General features: G+C 44.2%; 1 long non-coding RNA gene across 1 annotated transcript; it reads right to left on the bottom strand.

The window, feature by feature from the left end:
* Window positions 1-4,669: 4,669 nt before the first annotated feature.
* LOC124904246 (uncharacterized) lies at window positions 4,670-8,249 on the bottom strand. The gene is made up of 2 exons (XR_007066285.1): window positions 8,007-8,249; window positions 4,670-4,979 (listed from the first exon to the last, which is right to left on the bottom strand). It is a non-coding gene; the product is annotated as an uncharacterized LOC124904246 (long non-coding RNA).
* Between the last annotated feature and the right edge of the window lie 7,291 nt (window positions 8,250-15,540).

Raw genomic sequence — 15,540 nt, 5'->3', positions numbered from 1 at the left:
TTTTGCTTTGCAGCCAGCTTCTTTCACTTAGCATAATGTCATCAAGGTCCATTCATGTTGTAGCATGGGTCAAAATTTCCCCTCTTTTAAGGCTGAATAATATTCCATTGTGTGAATATGTAATTCACCGTTGTGTGAGTAGTAGATCCAGTCATCTGTCAGTGGACACTTGGATCGCTTCTACCTTTTGGCTATTGTAAATAATTCTGCTATGCAAACAGGTGTTCAACTATCTCTTTAGGACACTGATTTCAAATCTTTTGGATGTATACCCAGAAGCATCTTTCACTAGTGATCTTTTACAATGGCTGCGAAGTTAACAAGTATTGAAATGATTTTCTTTTGTACAAAAAAACATGCAAAGAGCTTTACTGAAATGTGAAGAAGTGTATTCAAATTCTTTACATGGCCCAGTGTGGTGGCTTATGACTATAATCTCAGCACTTTGGGGAGGCCAAGGTGGGCAGATCACCTGAGGTCAGGAGTTCGAGACCAGTCTGGCCAACATAGCGAAATCCCATCTCTACTAAAAATACAAAAATTAGCCAGATGTGGTGGCAGGTATCTGTAATCTCAGCCACTCAGGAGGCTGAGGCAGGAGAATCAATTGAACCCTGGAGGCAGAGATTGCAGTGAGCTGAGATCGCACCACTGCACTCCAGCCTGGGCAACAGAGCGAGACTCTGTCTCAAAAAAACAAAAACAAAAACAAATTATTTACATGTGTGAGCAAATATATATATATACATATATATATCTCTCTCCAATTCTTTGTCTAAGGAGTTGACTAAAATTCAGTAAAAGGGAAGTTATTTCCTTTCTGACTTTTACCCTTTCCCATAGCAGGGACATTTTAATTTAGATCAGTCAGGGAAGTTAAAACTATAAAAATCAATACTGTGTTCACTTTCCACATGGATTCCTCTACAATTTTTTTTACTTGTGACTAAAATACACATAACATAAAATTTACTATTGTAACCATTTTTAAGTGTACAGTTCAGTAGTGTTAAGTATATTCATGTTGTTATGCAACAGATCTCTGGAACCTTTTCATCTCACAGAACTGAAACTCTACACCCATCAAACAGCAGCTCACCCCTTCCCTGTCCCCGCTGCCCCGGCAACCATATTCTATTTTCTGTCTCTATGAATTTGACTACTTTAGATACCTCATATAAGTGGTCATTTTTTAAATTAAACATTAAACAGAATCTCTAGCAGTGCAGAAAATTGTTATGTATTGACCGTTCGCCGCTGTGTACACACACAGAGTGCTCTGGCCAATTTTTTTTACCAACTTCTCATTTGCTAGTGACTTAAGAGTACCAACTTTCCCTGAAGGAAAACTACTCAATTTTAGTCAAATATTTGACAAGCAATTAAAAGTCGTATGACAGAGGCCTATCTGCTGAAGGGAAGGTTATTTTAGAAGCACCTGCTATCGTTTCAGGTTTCTGGTTGACAAGTCTTGGCTGGAGTGGGCCTCCCCCTCTATGGGCCGAATGTGGGAGGAGATTGTCCAGTGTGAAGAGGCTGTGACACTCACTCATGGTTAGATCTCACTTCACTGTCTAAGATTTCTTTAGGATTCTTGCCAGAAATTGGTCAGCAGGTTAAAAGCAACTTGAATATCATGAGGGCAAGATCGCAACGACATCCTGACATGGCACCATCTTTCCCATTTCTGCCCTCCCAGTGGCCCTCCCCTCTCACAGGGTGCCGCCCTGCTCCCCACTTGCCCAGCCTTCCCTCCTGCTTCATCATCCTACCCCATTTCATAGATCTGTGTCCCTAGGACACAGATGCATTTAGCAGAACACTTTCTCCACCCTTATTCCTTTTTTTGTGATGTGACAGCTACATAAGATGGTGATGAGGCATCAAAATGTCTTTGCAAAGTGCAAAGACTCTTCACTCCTCTCCACTCTTGCTCTTCCTTTTTGCTCCTGCCCTGGCCTGGCCTGGGTTGGTTTCCAGGGATCTCTGCTTACCAGCAAGCCAGTCACCTACCTGTTATCCACATCTACTGAAGGCCTGGTAACAGCAGCCCGGGCCCAGAGAAGTGTTAAAAAAAAAAGAAAGAAAGAAAGAAAGAAAAACTTGGATCAAAGCTAGCAATGCCACCATCATTTCTTCCTCTTGGATTGGGTTACGTAAGCTGAGTGCTATGGTGGGAAAGCTCCAGCCAGGACTCAGGAAGCTGGGGGTCAGGTCTTAAATTTTATTTTATCCAACTTATAAGACAGTATTAGCCTGTTTCACAGATGCTGGCAGAAGACATGAGACTTCTGGATCTGAAATACAGGACTGGTAACGTAGCAAGCAAGATGAACACAAGCATATTTCATCAGTTACCCTTGCCCTTGAGTTCCACAGAAGTGACCCAACAGGCTCAGATTAACTAATACACACATGAAGGCGGTTTGTGTCACAGCCGAGGAACACTGAGTTTGGGGAATCCACTGCTTTTATAGCAAACAGTAAGAAAGTCTGCTCTTTGGGGATGAAGGAAGACATTACCTCATTTCTCAAGGTCATCAGCTACATGAACTACCCTGAGGACGGCCTGCAGGAAAGAGTGGCCAGTCTTAGCACACTTTGTAGGAGTTTATGAGGCCCAACATTGGCTCCAGCACCAGCCCCACCATTAACTCGTGTGTGAATTTCAGCAAGTCAGGTAACCTTTCTAGCACCCCATTTTTCTCACCAGTAAAATGATCATAGTAATAGATGTCCCAGCCAGGAGGTGAGGCAGGGTGTGGTTGGGAGAATTTTGGGAAGAAATGGAGGGACTGGCTTCCTGCTTGGGAACTGCCAATGGCTACATCAGGGCTCCATGGAATTCCTAAGTCACTTCTGAGTCTCCTCCAAGCCATACAAAAAGTGTGACATTTTGTAAATGGGCTGGAGGCCCACATTCGCCAAAGCCAGGTTCAGCCTGTGTTTATGCTGGAAGCTCAAGTTCTCAACAGCTCCCCACATGGAGAAAGTTCACCTGGGCCTCCTCAGCTGGAGAAAGTTCTCCTGGGCCTCACCGGTCTGCGACTGAACACAAAGTGCTCCAGAAACATCCTTCCCCCACTCTGTCTTCTGATTCCACTCCCCACGATCACTTATTTTTCCTACACCCTCCTGCCCCAGATCTCAGCTCCCTGACTGCATAACCACATGTCCTAAAGCATCTAAAGAAGATTAAGTCCATGTTCATGGGGATCAGCAAACTGCGGACTCATGTGGTACTATCAAAAAAGAAAGACTCACCCAAAAGTTTTTCCCTGTGTGTTATATATTTCTAAGAGGCATTCTAACTCACAAAGTGAATCTGAGCTAACAGCAGTCTAAAATGAATTCAATAAGAAATTCATTTTCTTCAAAAGTTTTAACAAAAATGTGAAATAAGTAGATTGAAATAGAAATCTGACTTCGTTGGGTTAATAACCTATGAAATACACATTTCCCACAGGATCCTTAATAAAAGATCTAAAGGTGGAAATGTGAGAATTATTGGAGGGAAACACTTGAATAAGACCTTCGAGTTCTTATGATGATACCCTTAGGAGGTCAACTGGTCTGTCCAACCTATTAGCCAAAGACTTTATCCTAATAAACGCTTTATCTACAACCTTATTATATTATATGCCAAAATATGAATGTCCTCACTCTGGCTGTATGAGATAAGTGAAGTAGACAGAATTATTCCCATTTTAAAGTTGGCCAAACTGGAACACCTAGAGACTACATGACTTGCCCAGGATTAGATATTTAGCAGGAGGCAAAGCTGGAATCAGACCCACGTCTCTGGAACTCCCATCTCTGAATCCTCTGTATTATTTGTAGGTATGATCTGGTCAAAGAAGAAAAAGGAAAAGAACATGCAGGTACTTTAAAGAAGCCTGGGCTGATAGAGATTATGCACCATATAAATAGCCAGGAACATAGGTAGGTAAGTGGGTGGGTAGGTGGGAGGTAGATGGGTATAGGTAAGTAAGAAAAAAAATACACTCAAACATAAACATTTGAGGCAACTCAGAAAATTAACCACAATATAAAACAGAAAATTAAATAATAAAAACAGAATCAAAATCAGTTGAAAGGAGCAAATAAATGGATGCCACCAAGCACCAGGATCGGATAAATGCCACCACTGGGGCAAAACCCAGTCCTAAGTCCCTGGTGACAGTAGGGGTGGGATATGCTTGACATCGATAGGCCAATTGAAGGTTAATTTGGAGAAACAAACATTTTTTTCTGTCCTGCAGGTTATTGTGAAAAGGACTTCGAGTAATATGATGGATAAAGTCTTCCACTATGCTTTTGCAAAATACCCAGGTTTGTTCTTCAAAAGCACATTTCTATGTCAGCTTCCCTCCACAAAGCTGAAGATGTAACATTAAGTCTCAATTTGTTAGATGCTTTTCTGTGGAGAGCTGAGATAATGAGGCCCAGGTCCATTGCTTTCTAAGATCTAACTCAGAGCAAAGGTGTACATGGATCACATCTAATTCCCAGAGACAGGAAAAGCAATCGCAATATAGGCATCTGATACCCATAAACATATCAGTGAGAAGCTGCAGATGTAGTTAAATCAGATATCCAGGAGTTAAACAGCCAGGCAGAAAAGAAAGGGCAAAAATAAAGGGAGAAAATAAGGGCTGTAAATGGAAGATTCTTGATAAGAATATGGTTTATTAACATATTCTACCTGTATTAATACAAACATATTCCAAGTGACAATGACACCAACTTCTTGAAGGCTTTGGCTCTTGAATCCATTTGGAAGTTTCTGCATGAAACCACACTTAACTTCTGCACATCTGCCTAGCTGATCTGCCTCCTCCTGCCTCTAAGCCATTGTCCAGTTGACATTATTCTCTTGAGATCCGCTGACACCTGCCTGCTCACTGTTACACTTCTTCCTTCAATGGAAATGCATTTCCCTTCCAATTCCAGCTGCAATCCAGACCAACAGGTGTAGTCTTTGAAAAACAAATGAAGAAAGAAGATATTAATTGAGTTGCTCTTGAACAAATGTATATTCGATCTAACAAATATTTATTGAGCTGTGGATATGCCAGGAACTACTACGCTGAGTGCCACGTTTTCAAAGATGAATGAGACTTGCCCTACCCCATCAACGAGCTCTCAGTTTAATAGAGAAGAGTGCGTTGTGGTTACACAATCCTTAACAGGAAATCAGGCCCTTGAGCAAACACATTAACACACTCTCTTCTGTGAGTGCTGTCATAGAGGAATGAGTGGGGTGTCATGAATGGAGAGGCTCCTTCTGATTTGGAGGATGGGTAAATTTTCAGAGGGACAGTGACTGCCTGTGCAATTCTATTCCACCGCCCCTGTTCCTTGCTAACAGAACCCTGATTTTTGTTCAGGTATCCATCCATAAAAGAGGAGCTAAATCCTGACTGGCCTAAGCCAATCATGACAATTCCATTCCTCTTGTCTGGGATAGGTTTAGGCATGGACATGCGTAGAAATTCTACCAAAGAAATATGAAAGGAAGTCAGCTGGGGGACTTCTAGGAAAGGTTTCCTAGTTCTTTTTTATCCCCCTCTTGATTTTTTAAGTATTTTTTAATTTGACATATAATAATTGTACCTATTTATGGGGTATATAGGGATGTTTGGATACATAGAAGCTATAGTGCTCAGGTCAGGGTAATTAGCATATCCATCGTCTCAAATACTTATCATTTCTTTGTGTTGGGAACATTCAGTATCCTTCTAGCTATTTGAAATGATATAATATATTATGGTTAAATACAGTCATCCTATAGTGCTACAGAACACCAGAACTTATTCCTTTTATGTAGATATAATTTTATATCCTTTAACAAATGTCTCCCTACCTTACCTATCCTTCTACTCCTCCCAGCCTCTAGTGTCCTCTGTTCTACTTTTTACTTCCATGAGATCAACTTTTTGTTCTTAAAAAGAAATGCACATGTGTCCTCTGGATCTGATGACGGCTATTGTCAGTGATCTGATGGTTGTGAGGCATGCTTACCTAAGGGCATTAGGCAGTTTGTTACCTGGTATTCATATGTGTGGGTGTGTAAGTGTACATGTGTGAGTGTAGACACTTATCTACAAAGCTGTGAGTTTCTTAAAAACATGAACTGTCTTACAAGTCATTTTTGCATTCTCACAGAATCTAGCACAGTGCCTGTCACATAGAAGACACCACCTAAATGTCTGAATAAATCAATACATAGAAATTCTATTTACCTTTATTACAACAATATATCAGTGTATAATATATAATTTTACTAAAATTTTAACAATTGTACATTATATTTCCAGTATATGTAATATTTTTTGAGTTTGCAATTTTTCAAAATACAACCCAAGATTAATCCAGCCCTGTGCTGTCCAATAGGGTAGCCCCAGACACATGTGGCGATTTGCATTTATATTCATTAAAGTTTACTAAAGTGCAGCCCCTTGGTCATCCTAGCTGCATGCGGCTAGTAACTACTGTATTGGACAGTGCAGATACAGAGCTTTTCTGTCATCATAGGTGGTTCTACGGGACAGTGCTGGAGTACGCACTGCTCACATTTGACTCTAACCCAGCGCTTGGCACACAGAGGACACACATAAACATTATTCAAATAATTGAATTCTACTGAACATTCCAGACATTCTTTTTTTTTTTTTTTCGAGACGGAGTCTCACTCTGTCGCCCAGGCTGGAGTGCAGTGGTGCGATCTCGGCTCACTGCAAGCTCTGCCTCCCGGGTTCACGCCATTCTCCTGCCTCACCCTCCCGAGTAGCTGGGACTACAGGTGCCCGCCACTGCGCCCGGCTAATTTTTTGTATTTTTAGTAGAGACAGGGTTTCACTATGTTAGCCAGGATGGTCTCAATCTCCTGACCTCATGATCCACCTACCTCGGCCTCCCAAAGTGCTGGGATTACAGGCGTAAGCCACCGCGCCCGGCCCCATTCCAGACATTCTTAGAACAGCCAAGATAAAATAGGAGAAGCCCTATGCTATCAATGAAAGCAATCAAAGTAAATGTTTAGCATCAAACAAAGCCAATGCCCCATTTATCTAAAAGGTTGCTGAGATGTCTAGAAAGGCCCAGAGGATTCCCTGGCTGCAGACTTCCCTGATCACAGAGCACACCCAGCCACAAAGCCAAGTCCAAACTGAGCTGCTGAGGCTGGAGCCAGCATCCCTTCACAATCACACCATGGCCTTTGTTGGACTGGTGTGTGGTTCATAACATATTCTTTAACTGGCTTACATAGACTGACCTTCCTGAAGGCGGTTGAGCCAATGTTCCTTCAGGCCTATGTCCAATCTCCTTCTAAATTTCACCAGGGATTTCACTATGAATTAGAGATTTCAGATTAGTCCCCAGGTCCTAATTGATTAGAATGCCTTTTCTAGCCTGAGTGCAGTAGTTAACACAGGTGCCGGCCAGCTCTGCCCTTCTCAGTTTTGTGACCATGAGCAAGTTACTCAACTCCTCCTAGCTCTGTTCATTCATCTATACAATGGGGATAGAGAAAGTTCTACTTGACAAGATTTTTCAGCATCTGATGGTTCGTGCAGCAGTGCACTTGACACATTTACTGCACACGATGCACACTGGCCAGGTGGCCATGTGCAGCTGGGCACACAGAAGGCCTCGCCAAACGTGGCGTCCCTTCACTGCCCTGCCCTGCTGCAATGTCTGCCTGGAGTCCCTTCTGTATGCCTTGCCTTTTTTATTGTTGTCGTTGTTTTTTAATGATAAATTATAAGCTTGAATGCAAGAATTGGAAATGAACACGGAATTAAACTTCTTCCAATCAGAAGAAGGAGAGAAAAAAAACTGAGTCTAAAGAGAATCAGCCCCTGAAATAAACCGTGTACCCACAGAACAGAAGCCTGGCCCGGAGCGACCGTCAGTGGGCCGTGGCTTCTGCTCTCGTTGCTAGCTCTCCTTCACCCTGGACACCCCATCTTCTTCCTGCAACCCCCTCTACCTTGACCTACCTCACTTCTGTCCTCTCCAGGCATTCCTCTGTCTTCCCCCAGCACCAGCCTCTCCCCACAGGATTCCTGGAGATCCTTCCTAAAAGGCTGATGTGTGCAAATAAAGAGCTCAGCAACTGGTAGGATGAATTCAACAGAGAAAATAATACTAGGACAGAGGTCCCTACTTAATCCCATGCTCCTCACCCATCCATGCTGAAAGCACTTCTGATTTACAATGACCACTCATCAGGAGTTTTTCAATCTCCTAATAAATTTCAAAACATACGCATCTTTCTGGGACACCCCAGGAACTTGAGTGAACTGCATTCACACTTGAGAAATGCCAGGCAAGCTATGGAAGGGATGGTTCACCCAGTACGGTATTCTGTCACTTCTTACAAAATTCAGTAATGCCACCCAGACATAACTTGGAATCCCCTACTTGGCCTTCTTATATGTATTTATAGTAATGTACTCTATAAAACATTATTTTACTCAACACTTTTAAACATTTTTATAGGCCCTGACACTAACTACCTTCTTGTCTTCGGGTATATTCCTTTACTGTGGCCTCCAGACTGAACCTTTGCCCAATCTAAGCTTCTCATGATTTTAACAACCTGGTGGTCTTACCCTTTTTCACTTTTTGTCATTCCATACTGAAAGAGCCTTAATGGTTTAATTTGCTCATATTTGGGTCTTTACTTGTCAAAAAGTCCAAAATGAACCTTAAATATTTTAAGTCATCTGAAATATTTTTAAGATGAATCAGCTTTTCAACTTTTTTTTTCTTTGGGGATTTGTTTTGCCATTAACCACATCCTCTTCCAATGTTATGTAGCCAACACTTAACTGTAATGTATTTGCATAATACGGGGCAAGCTTTAAAGAAACAGAAATACTTAATCATTGACATAAAGCTCTTAGTTTTTCCTTTACATTCTTAACTTATCTATCAGTGTTTTGCTTAATTGAGCCCTCGTGTTTTCCCAGGCTTAGGGAGAAATTGCCTTGAGTAATCTCCCAGAACACAACCAGTTTCAAGTGCTCCTGGGATGTTTCAGAGGTGAAGACAGCAGGGCACTGACCAGCTGCAGGCAAACTTTTTATCATAGTTGAGGCAAATAATTTCGACCGCCAAGTTTTGGAGCACAGCATTCATTCTCTGTAGTTCTTCCCTGAGGTCAGACACAAACAACATACTCTGCTCTGCCTGTTCTTACAGTGGCCTCTGCAGGATGCTCTGTTCCTGCTTCCTGCAGATGCTCCTGCCCACTAGGATGAGAAGCCATCTCTGCTCTGCCTCCCCAGGTGGGGCACACTGTACTTCACAGTGACTGTTTTCCTGCCAGTCAGGAAAGAGTTTGCCTTGACTGCTCATGCATTCATCCACAAGCATGTCTGGAGTGCTAGTAAGCTAGTAAGCACAGTGCCAGCTCCCAGTCTGTGTGTGTATTCCATCAAAGCAAGCCTGCCCTTGCTCTAGAATAAGACAGGCAGACAGGCCAGGCACAGTAGCTCACGCTTGTAATCCCAGCACTTTGGGAGGCCGAAGCGGGCAGATCACCTGAGGTCAAGAGTTTCAGACCAGCCTGGCCAACATGATGAAACCCCGTCTCTACTAATAATAAAAAAAAATTAGCTGGTCATGGTGGTGCACACCTGTAATTCCAGCTACTCGGAAGGCTGAGGCAGGAGAATCACTTGAACCCGGGAGGCAGAGGTTGCAGTGAGCCGAGATTGGGCCATTGCACTCCAGCCTGGGTGACAGAGTGAGACTCTGTCTCAAAAAAAATAAAGGAAGGCAGACAAATGATGGCAGCCCCTAAAGGCCGATGATGGCAGGAGAGCCCCCGTGCCACGGGAACAGAGGAGAGTGTGGATACTTCATCCTGATGACTCAGAGGGCAGCAGAGACATGGTGACATTTAAGAAGGGCTTAAAAGATCGATAGTGATTTCCTAGGCAGAAAAGCAAGGGCGTGAGGCATTCCAGACAGAAAATGTCATTCACCAACATGAAAAAATAGACATGCAGAAACACAGTTCAGTTCCATTTGATAAGTAGATGTCTGCAGGGCCCAGAGGCGGAACTAGCTGCAAGAAGTTTGAAATTGGAGCCTAGAGCTCAGGAAAGAGGACAAAATAAGAGTCAGATCATGACCAGAATAGCTGAACTCAACCCGGGAGTACTTAGGTTACGAGAGATAAAAGACTGAGTCAGGGAATATCGACTTTAACTGCCCAGGCAGGAGGAACGGAGGCAACTTGGGGCAGTCACTATGGAGGCAGGAGGACTTGTCTAGTTCTGAAAAACTTTTGGAGGCAAACGTTGAGACCCTCATCCCTGATGGAGATGTTTAGGAAGCCTCACCAGAGAGCCAAGAACAAACCCTTCAATGCACTGCGTTGCCACCAAGGGCTTGCTGTCTGGGCGCTTTTCCATTTGGAAGATGAGCAGTTCCCCATTCTTGGTCTTGGTGTCCTTTATTTTATCTCTTATTTTATGGTCACTCTAACTCCAACTGTTTTTTCCTTTTGTGTTGTGAGATTTTGGTAAATGGACTCACAATAATTTGTGGCATAAGAACATCAATAAATAAAAATAAAGATCTAAAATATGATTCAATGAAGTCTCTAAGTTATTTTATCTACTAAAGAAGAAGCAACCTATTTTTGAGTGAATTCAGTTTTATTTTTTATTTTTTTGATACACGGTCTTGCTCTGCCGCCCAGGCTGGAATGCAGTGGCACGATCATGGCTTACTGCAGCCTTGACTTCCCCGGGTTCAGGTGATCCTCCCACCTCATCCTCCCAAGTAGCTGGAACTACAGGCGCAAGCTGCCACACCCAGCTAATTTTTTTATTTTTTGTAGAGACAAAGTTTCACCATGTTGCCCAGACAGGTGTTGAACTCCTGGACTTAAGCAATCTACCTGCCTTGGCCTCCCAAAGTGCTGGAATTACAGGTGTGAGCCACCGTGTCCATCCCTGTGGTATAGGAACATCAATAAATAAAAATAAACATCCAAAATATGACTCAATGAAGTATCCAGGAGTATCTAAGTTATTTTATTCACTAAAGAAACAACCTATTTTTTAGTGAATTAATTCACTTTCCAATGTCTTTGGATTTAGGCATTTGTGTGGCCACTAACCACATCCTCCCCCAGCGTAAGTGTCCCAGGGGTCCCACACGGGCGGAAGCACAGATGCCCACCTGCAGTCACAGTGCCCTCCTCGCTAAAGCTGTTGTCTTCTGAATACGAGATCCTGAAATGCTGTTGACAGAGAGACTTTTCCAGGAGGTGGGCCAACATGAGCTGGAGTTTTACCTGGGTGTGATGGGAGAGGTGAACAGCTGCCTGGCCCTCTGCTGACTCTGTGTCCTCATTGTGGCCTGTCATTGTAGAGTAACACGGACGAGGTGGAGGGTCAGGGAGCCATGCCAGGACTCTCAGAAGATAAGGCGGAGCAAGGAGAATGGCACGGTGTCTGGGAGTCATCAGAGCCAAGTCATAGGGTAGTCTAGTGGCCATTTGTCCCTTTGGTTCTGTGCTATCCATATGGCCCTCAATGCCCAGATAACGACAGTCCAGCCCCCACTCCACACTTACATGCAGGGAACCCCATCCTTCACCAAGTTCCCTCCAAAAGGGCTCTGGGACGCCCATAGAAGATCTGCAGAGCCCGTGGGTCCAGGCTGCTGTCATTGGTCTCCTCGGCTGGCTGCCTCATCACAAGGAGGACGTGCACCCCACTGCCTGCTATCACAGCGGTTTCCCCAGGCTCTGTCCCTGTTCCTGTATCCTTTCCTGCTACCATGGACACAAGCCCCTCCCTCGATTTTCCCAGCACTAAGATCGGGCTGTAACTTCTACAAAAATATATTGAGGACTTGTGGATAACAGGGGGAATGACAAAAAAGAGGAGAAAAGAAATATATTAAAAATGAATGCCAGATACAGCTGCAAACAGTGTCCATAGGGTCCCCAGCCCTCCAGTATCTCAGCTTGCATGGCAGTTACAGTCCAGCTATCATCCGATATATCCTGGACTGGTTGTTTCCAGCTGCCCCTTTCACCCAATGAGTTTCCCAATTAGAAAGACGAATTGTGTGATTTACCCACCACCACTCTTTCAGAATGCTTTTATTATTTAAAAAAAAATTTTTTGAGACAGGGTCTCATTTGCTCTGTCTCCCAGGCTGGAGTGAAGTGGCACAATCATAGCTCACTGTAGCTTCGAACTCCTGGGCTCAAGCAATCCTCTCACCTCAGCCTCCCAAAATGCTCGGATTACAGGCATGTGACACTGCGACCCGCCTCTGAGTGCTTTTATAATGGTGCCTCTACCAGTGTCCAGGGCCTCTCCCTCTCCAAAAATCAGCAAGGGGGAGAAAAGATACCTTATCTAAACCAGCTCTGCATGATGATCTGCAGAATGCAATTATGTCAGTCCATGCTATCAGACTAGTAAGTTCAAGTTTCTTATTTTAAGAACTGGATCATAAATGCACTTCTTTCTTCCCTTCATACGGCTCTAAAATATCTGATCATATTTAAATCAGAATTACAATTCACCACTCGTGGAGCAGAGGTCCAAGCCTTTCATCCAAAATCCCAAGCTAGGAGCCAAGAGAGCCCATCCCGCAAGGTCTGTTCCCCAACAATGGGCAAGAAAGAAAGGAGGCACCCAGGACCTTCCCTCCAGAGTCCAGGCCATTGAGATACCAGCTGACCAGGGCACTGCACCACTCCATGAGCCCCATCACCGCCCTGGTCAAGAGGGCAGGGACCCTTGACCGAGGTGCATGGGAGCCAAAAGTGTGTGTAGGGCAGTAAATATCACCTGGCTCTGGCCCAGATCCAACAGGGCTTAGCTTGGCCATAGGCAAGAACTGAACAGAACATAAGGAAAGGGTTCTTCACCTCCATGTGACTGTGGCTGCTCCCCGATGTACTGTAGGATGCAACCAAAGGCCCTTTGAAGTCTTTTCCCCCAAAGAAGTAATTGGAAAGAATAACCCAAACTTCCACCTAGAAAAACAGAAGAGCTGTTGGCAGTTTAAACATAACAGTCCCAGGTGTCCTCAGATTCTAGCCATCACATTTTCCACAATGCTGGGGCTCTGTCTCAGAGTCCCTGTACGCTCAGCTCCTCTCAGAGCTCATCCTTTTGGGACGGGTACTGTGGCTTACCATTCCAGGAAGGAGATAGGCCCATCGAGGCACCAATGTTGGCTGTGCACTCATCTTGAAAACAGCAACAAGCACCTGGAACACAATTGCTTTGACTTCATCCAGAGCCTCTGGAATCAGGAAAAGTAGACTTGGTTCTCTGGACTCATGGCTGATTTATCATATGGCTGTAGGTGTGTGGCTCTGTGGCTCAGTGTCTCCATCTGCTACCTCCTTCTTCAGATCCTTAAAATTAAAGGGAGGCCTAAAAGGCACTTGACATTGAGTTGTGTTGTTTTTGTGTGGATAACCCCATGAAAGAATAATCCATTAACAGAGGCATCTCCTACTGTCCCTTCATGTAGTAATCCACCCACTCACCCTCAGCAAAAGTGTGGCACTGCCTTCAAAATATAATTTCAGAAGTTGAAGACTTGTCCCAATGGTTTCTGTCAAGAAGCATCTAGAGGAAGTTTAAATCTTGAGCACATGGCTGCCTTTGCCCTTGTAAATTTCTGTAACTTACAAGGCATCCCCTGACTCCAAACAAAACTTCCTTCTGCTGTTGGTGGTTTGCCATTTGCACCATAAAACCAAAGCCTGCCGAAGATACCAGTCCGAGGAGAATGCGGATGAGTGGGCAGGGCACAGGGACACTGGGACTGAAACTGGATGACAAAGAAAATGAACTGAGGGCAAGTCTGGGAAGAAATGGGCAAATGTTACACCGGTGGCTTGATGGGTATCTTCAAAGTGGTCTTTGCTGATCTTGCATTGTTTCCACAATAAATTCAGAACGCAGGCTGGGAGCTCACTGGACTTCAGTCAGATGGCTTGAATTAAAGCCTTAGCTTCACATTTGTGGCTTTCTGGATAAATCACTGAACTTCTTGGCATCTTGATTTCCTTATCTGCAAAGTGGAGGTGATGATACACATGGTCGGTTTCGACCTATCGACCTCCTTAACCTGATAAGAGAATCTCAGATTCATTTTGAGAATAAACTCCCTCAGCTCTGGCCCCAATAACCCTCCACTGTTGATCCTCCTGGCAGGCCTCTATCAGCAAAGAGACCCCACCCTACACAGGGGACAGGTGCTGACCCATGCTGGGCCTCTTGGAATTTCTCCCAGCTCATTTGACTCATGAGCATAGGGTCCCAAGGATGGACAATATAAGCCGATTTATCTCAGCCTGGTTCTTTAGCTGATCCTTCAACTATATGAGTCCCTCTATATCCTCCCTCCCCCAATAAATTCCTTTTTTGCTAAAGTTAGCAAAAATCAGTTGCTGTTACTTGCCACCAAAGAACTCTAATTATACTGCATTTGACAGTTGCCCTGGCTACCTCACAGATAGTTCTGAGAATCAAAAAGACCTGGGATGGGATGTGAAAGCATTTTACTAACCACACAGCTCTATACAGATTGTGTCATTTTTGCTATGCAGAGTCAAATGCTCACTGTGTGCACACTGGGCTGCACAAATCCTTGATGCCAGGAAATTTCCATCACGTTGCTGTAATGGAATTTGGGACAAGTTGTGCCAAGGAATCTCCCGGCCAGAATGAGAACAGTGAGCGTGATGTGCTGCCCTCACCCAATCACTGTGATGTTTTCCACTGGGCATCTGAGCTTGGGGCCAAGCAGGACGGGGCTGCAGCCCGCCTGAGCTGGATTTATGGTCCACGGATTAGTGGGGATAAATCCTCCCTGCTCTTGGAGATCAACTAAATAAACAAGAGGAAAACATCATCTCAGAGTGCGCTGTATAGGCTGAAGGACTGAGAATGAGCAGAATGATGCTGGTCCCATAATTACCTTCGTCGAGATGCTCCTTTAAATGCTCAGCAGTTTTGATGCTGATAATTGAGCTGGCTTTTGGGGGGTTTCCATTGTGGCTCTTTATAGCCATGATCTATGTGCCCATAATGCTAGGTTTTTATTTGTTTGTTTGTTTTAAAAAAGGGGGGGCCTACAGTTAGAGTTCAGGGTGGGCTCAGTGTCTGCTTAACTCGCTGAAAGGCATCAAACTGTAACTTCCAAAGGAAATTGTTTGTCCCAGTGACTTCTCCTGTGCAGCATCGAGAATTTTAAATCTTGACTTAAATGCTGCCCTGAGGTGACATATAAAGGAGTCGTCCTTGCCCCTTGGTAATAAGCAGTCCTTGACAGGAGAGGTTAGCAGGAAGGCGCCGCTGTCCTCGGTTGGGTGTCCAGTATGTGCCAAGCTCTCCAGGAGGCAAAATTCTCCCCCACAGCCCCCGCTGACCAGGAGAAGATGGGAGAGAGGGGGAGAGGAGCCCTGCGCAGAAGCGGCTTCCATCACAGGTGGAAAGGTGAAGAGCACCAAAAGAGAGGAAGGTGGAGTTT

The sequence above is a fragment of the Homo sapiens genome, chromosome 18 (genome assembly GCF_000001405.40).
Source record: "Homo sapiens chromosome 18, GRCh38.p14 Primary Assembly".
NCBI lineage: Eukaryota > Metazoa > Chordata > Mammalia > Primates > Hominidae > Homo > Homo sapiens.
The sequence above is the reverse complement of the archived record's forward strand: the minus strand, read 5'-3'. Positions and strand labels throughout refer to the sequence as shown.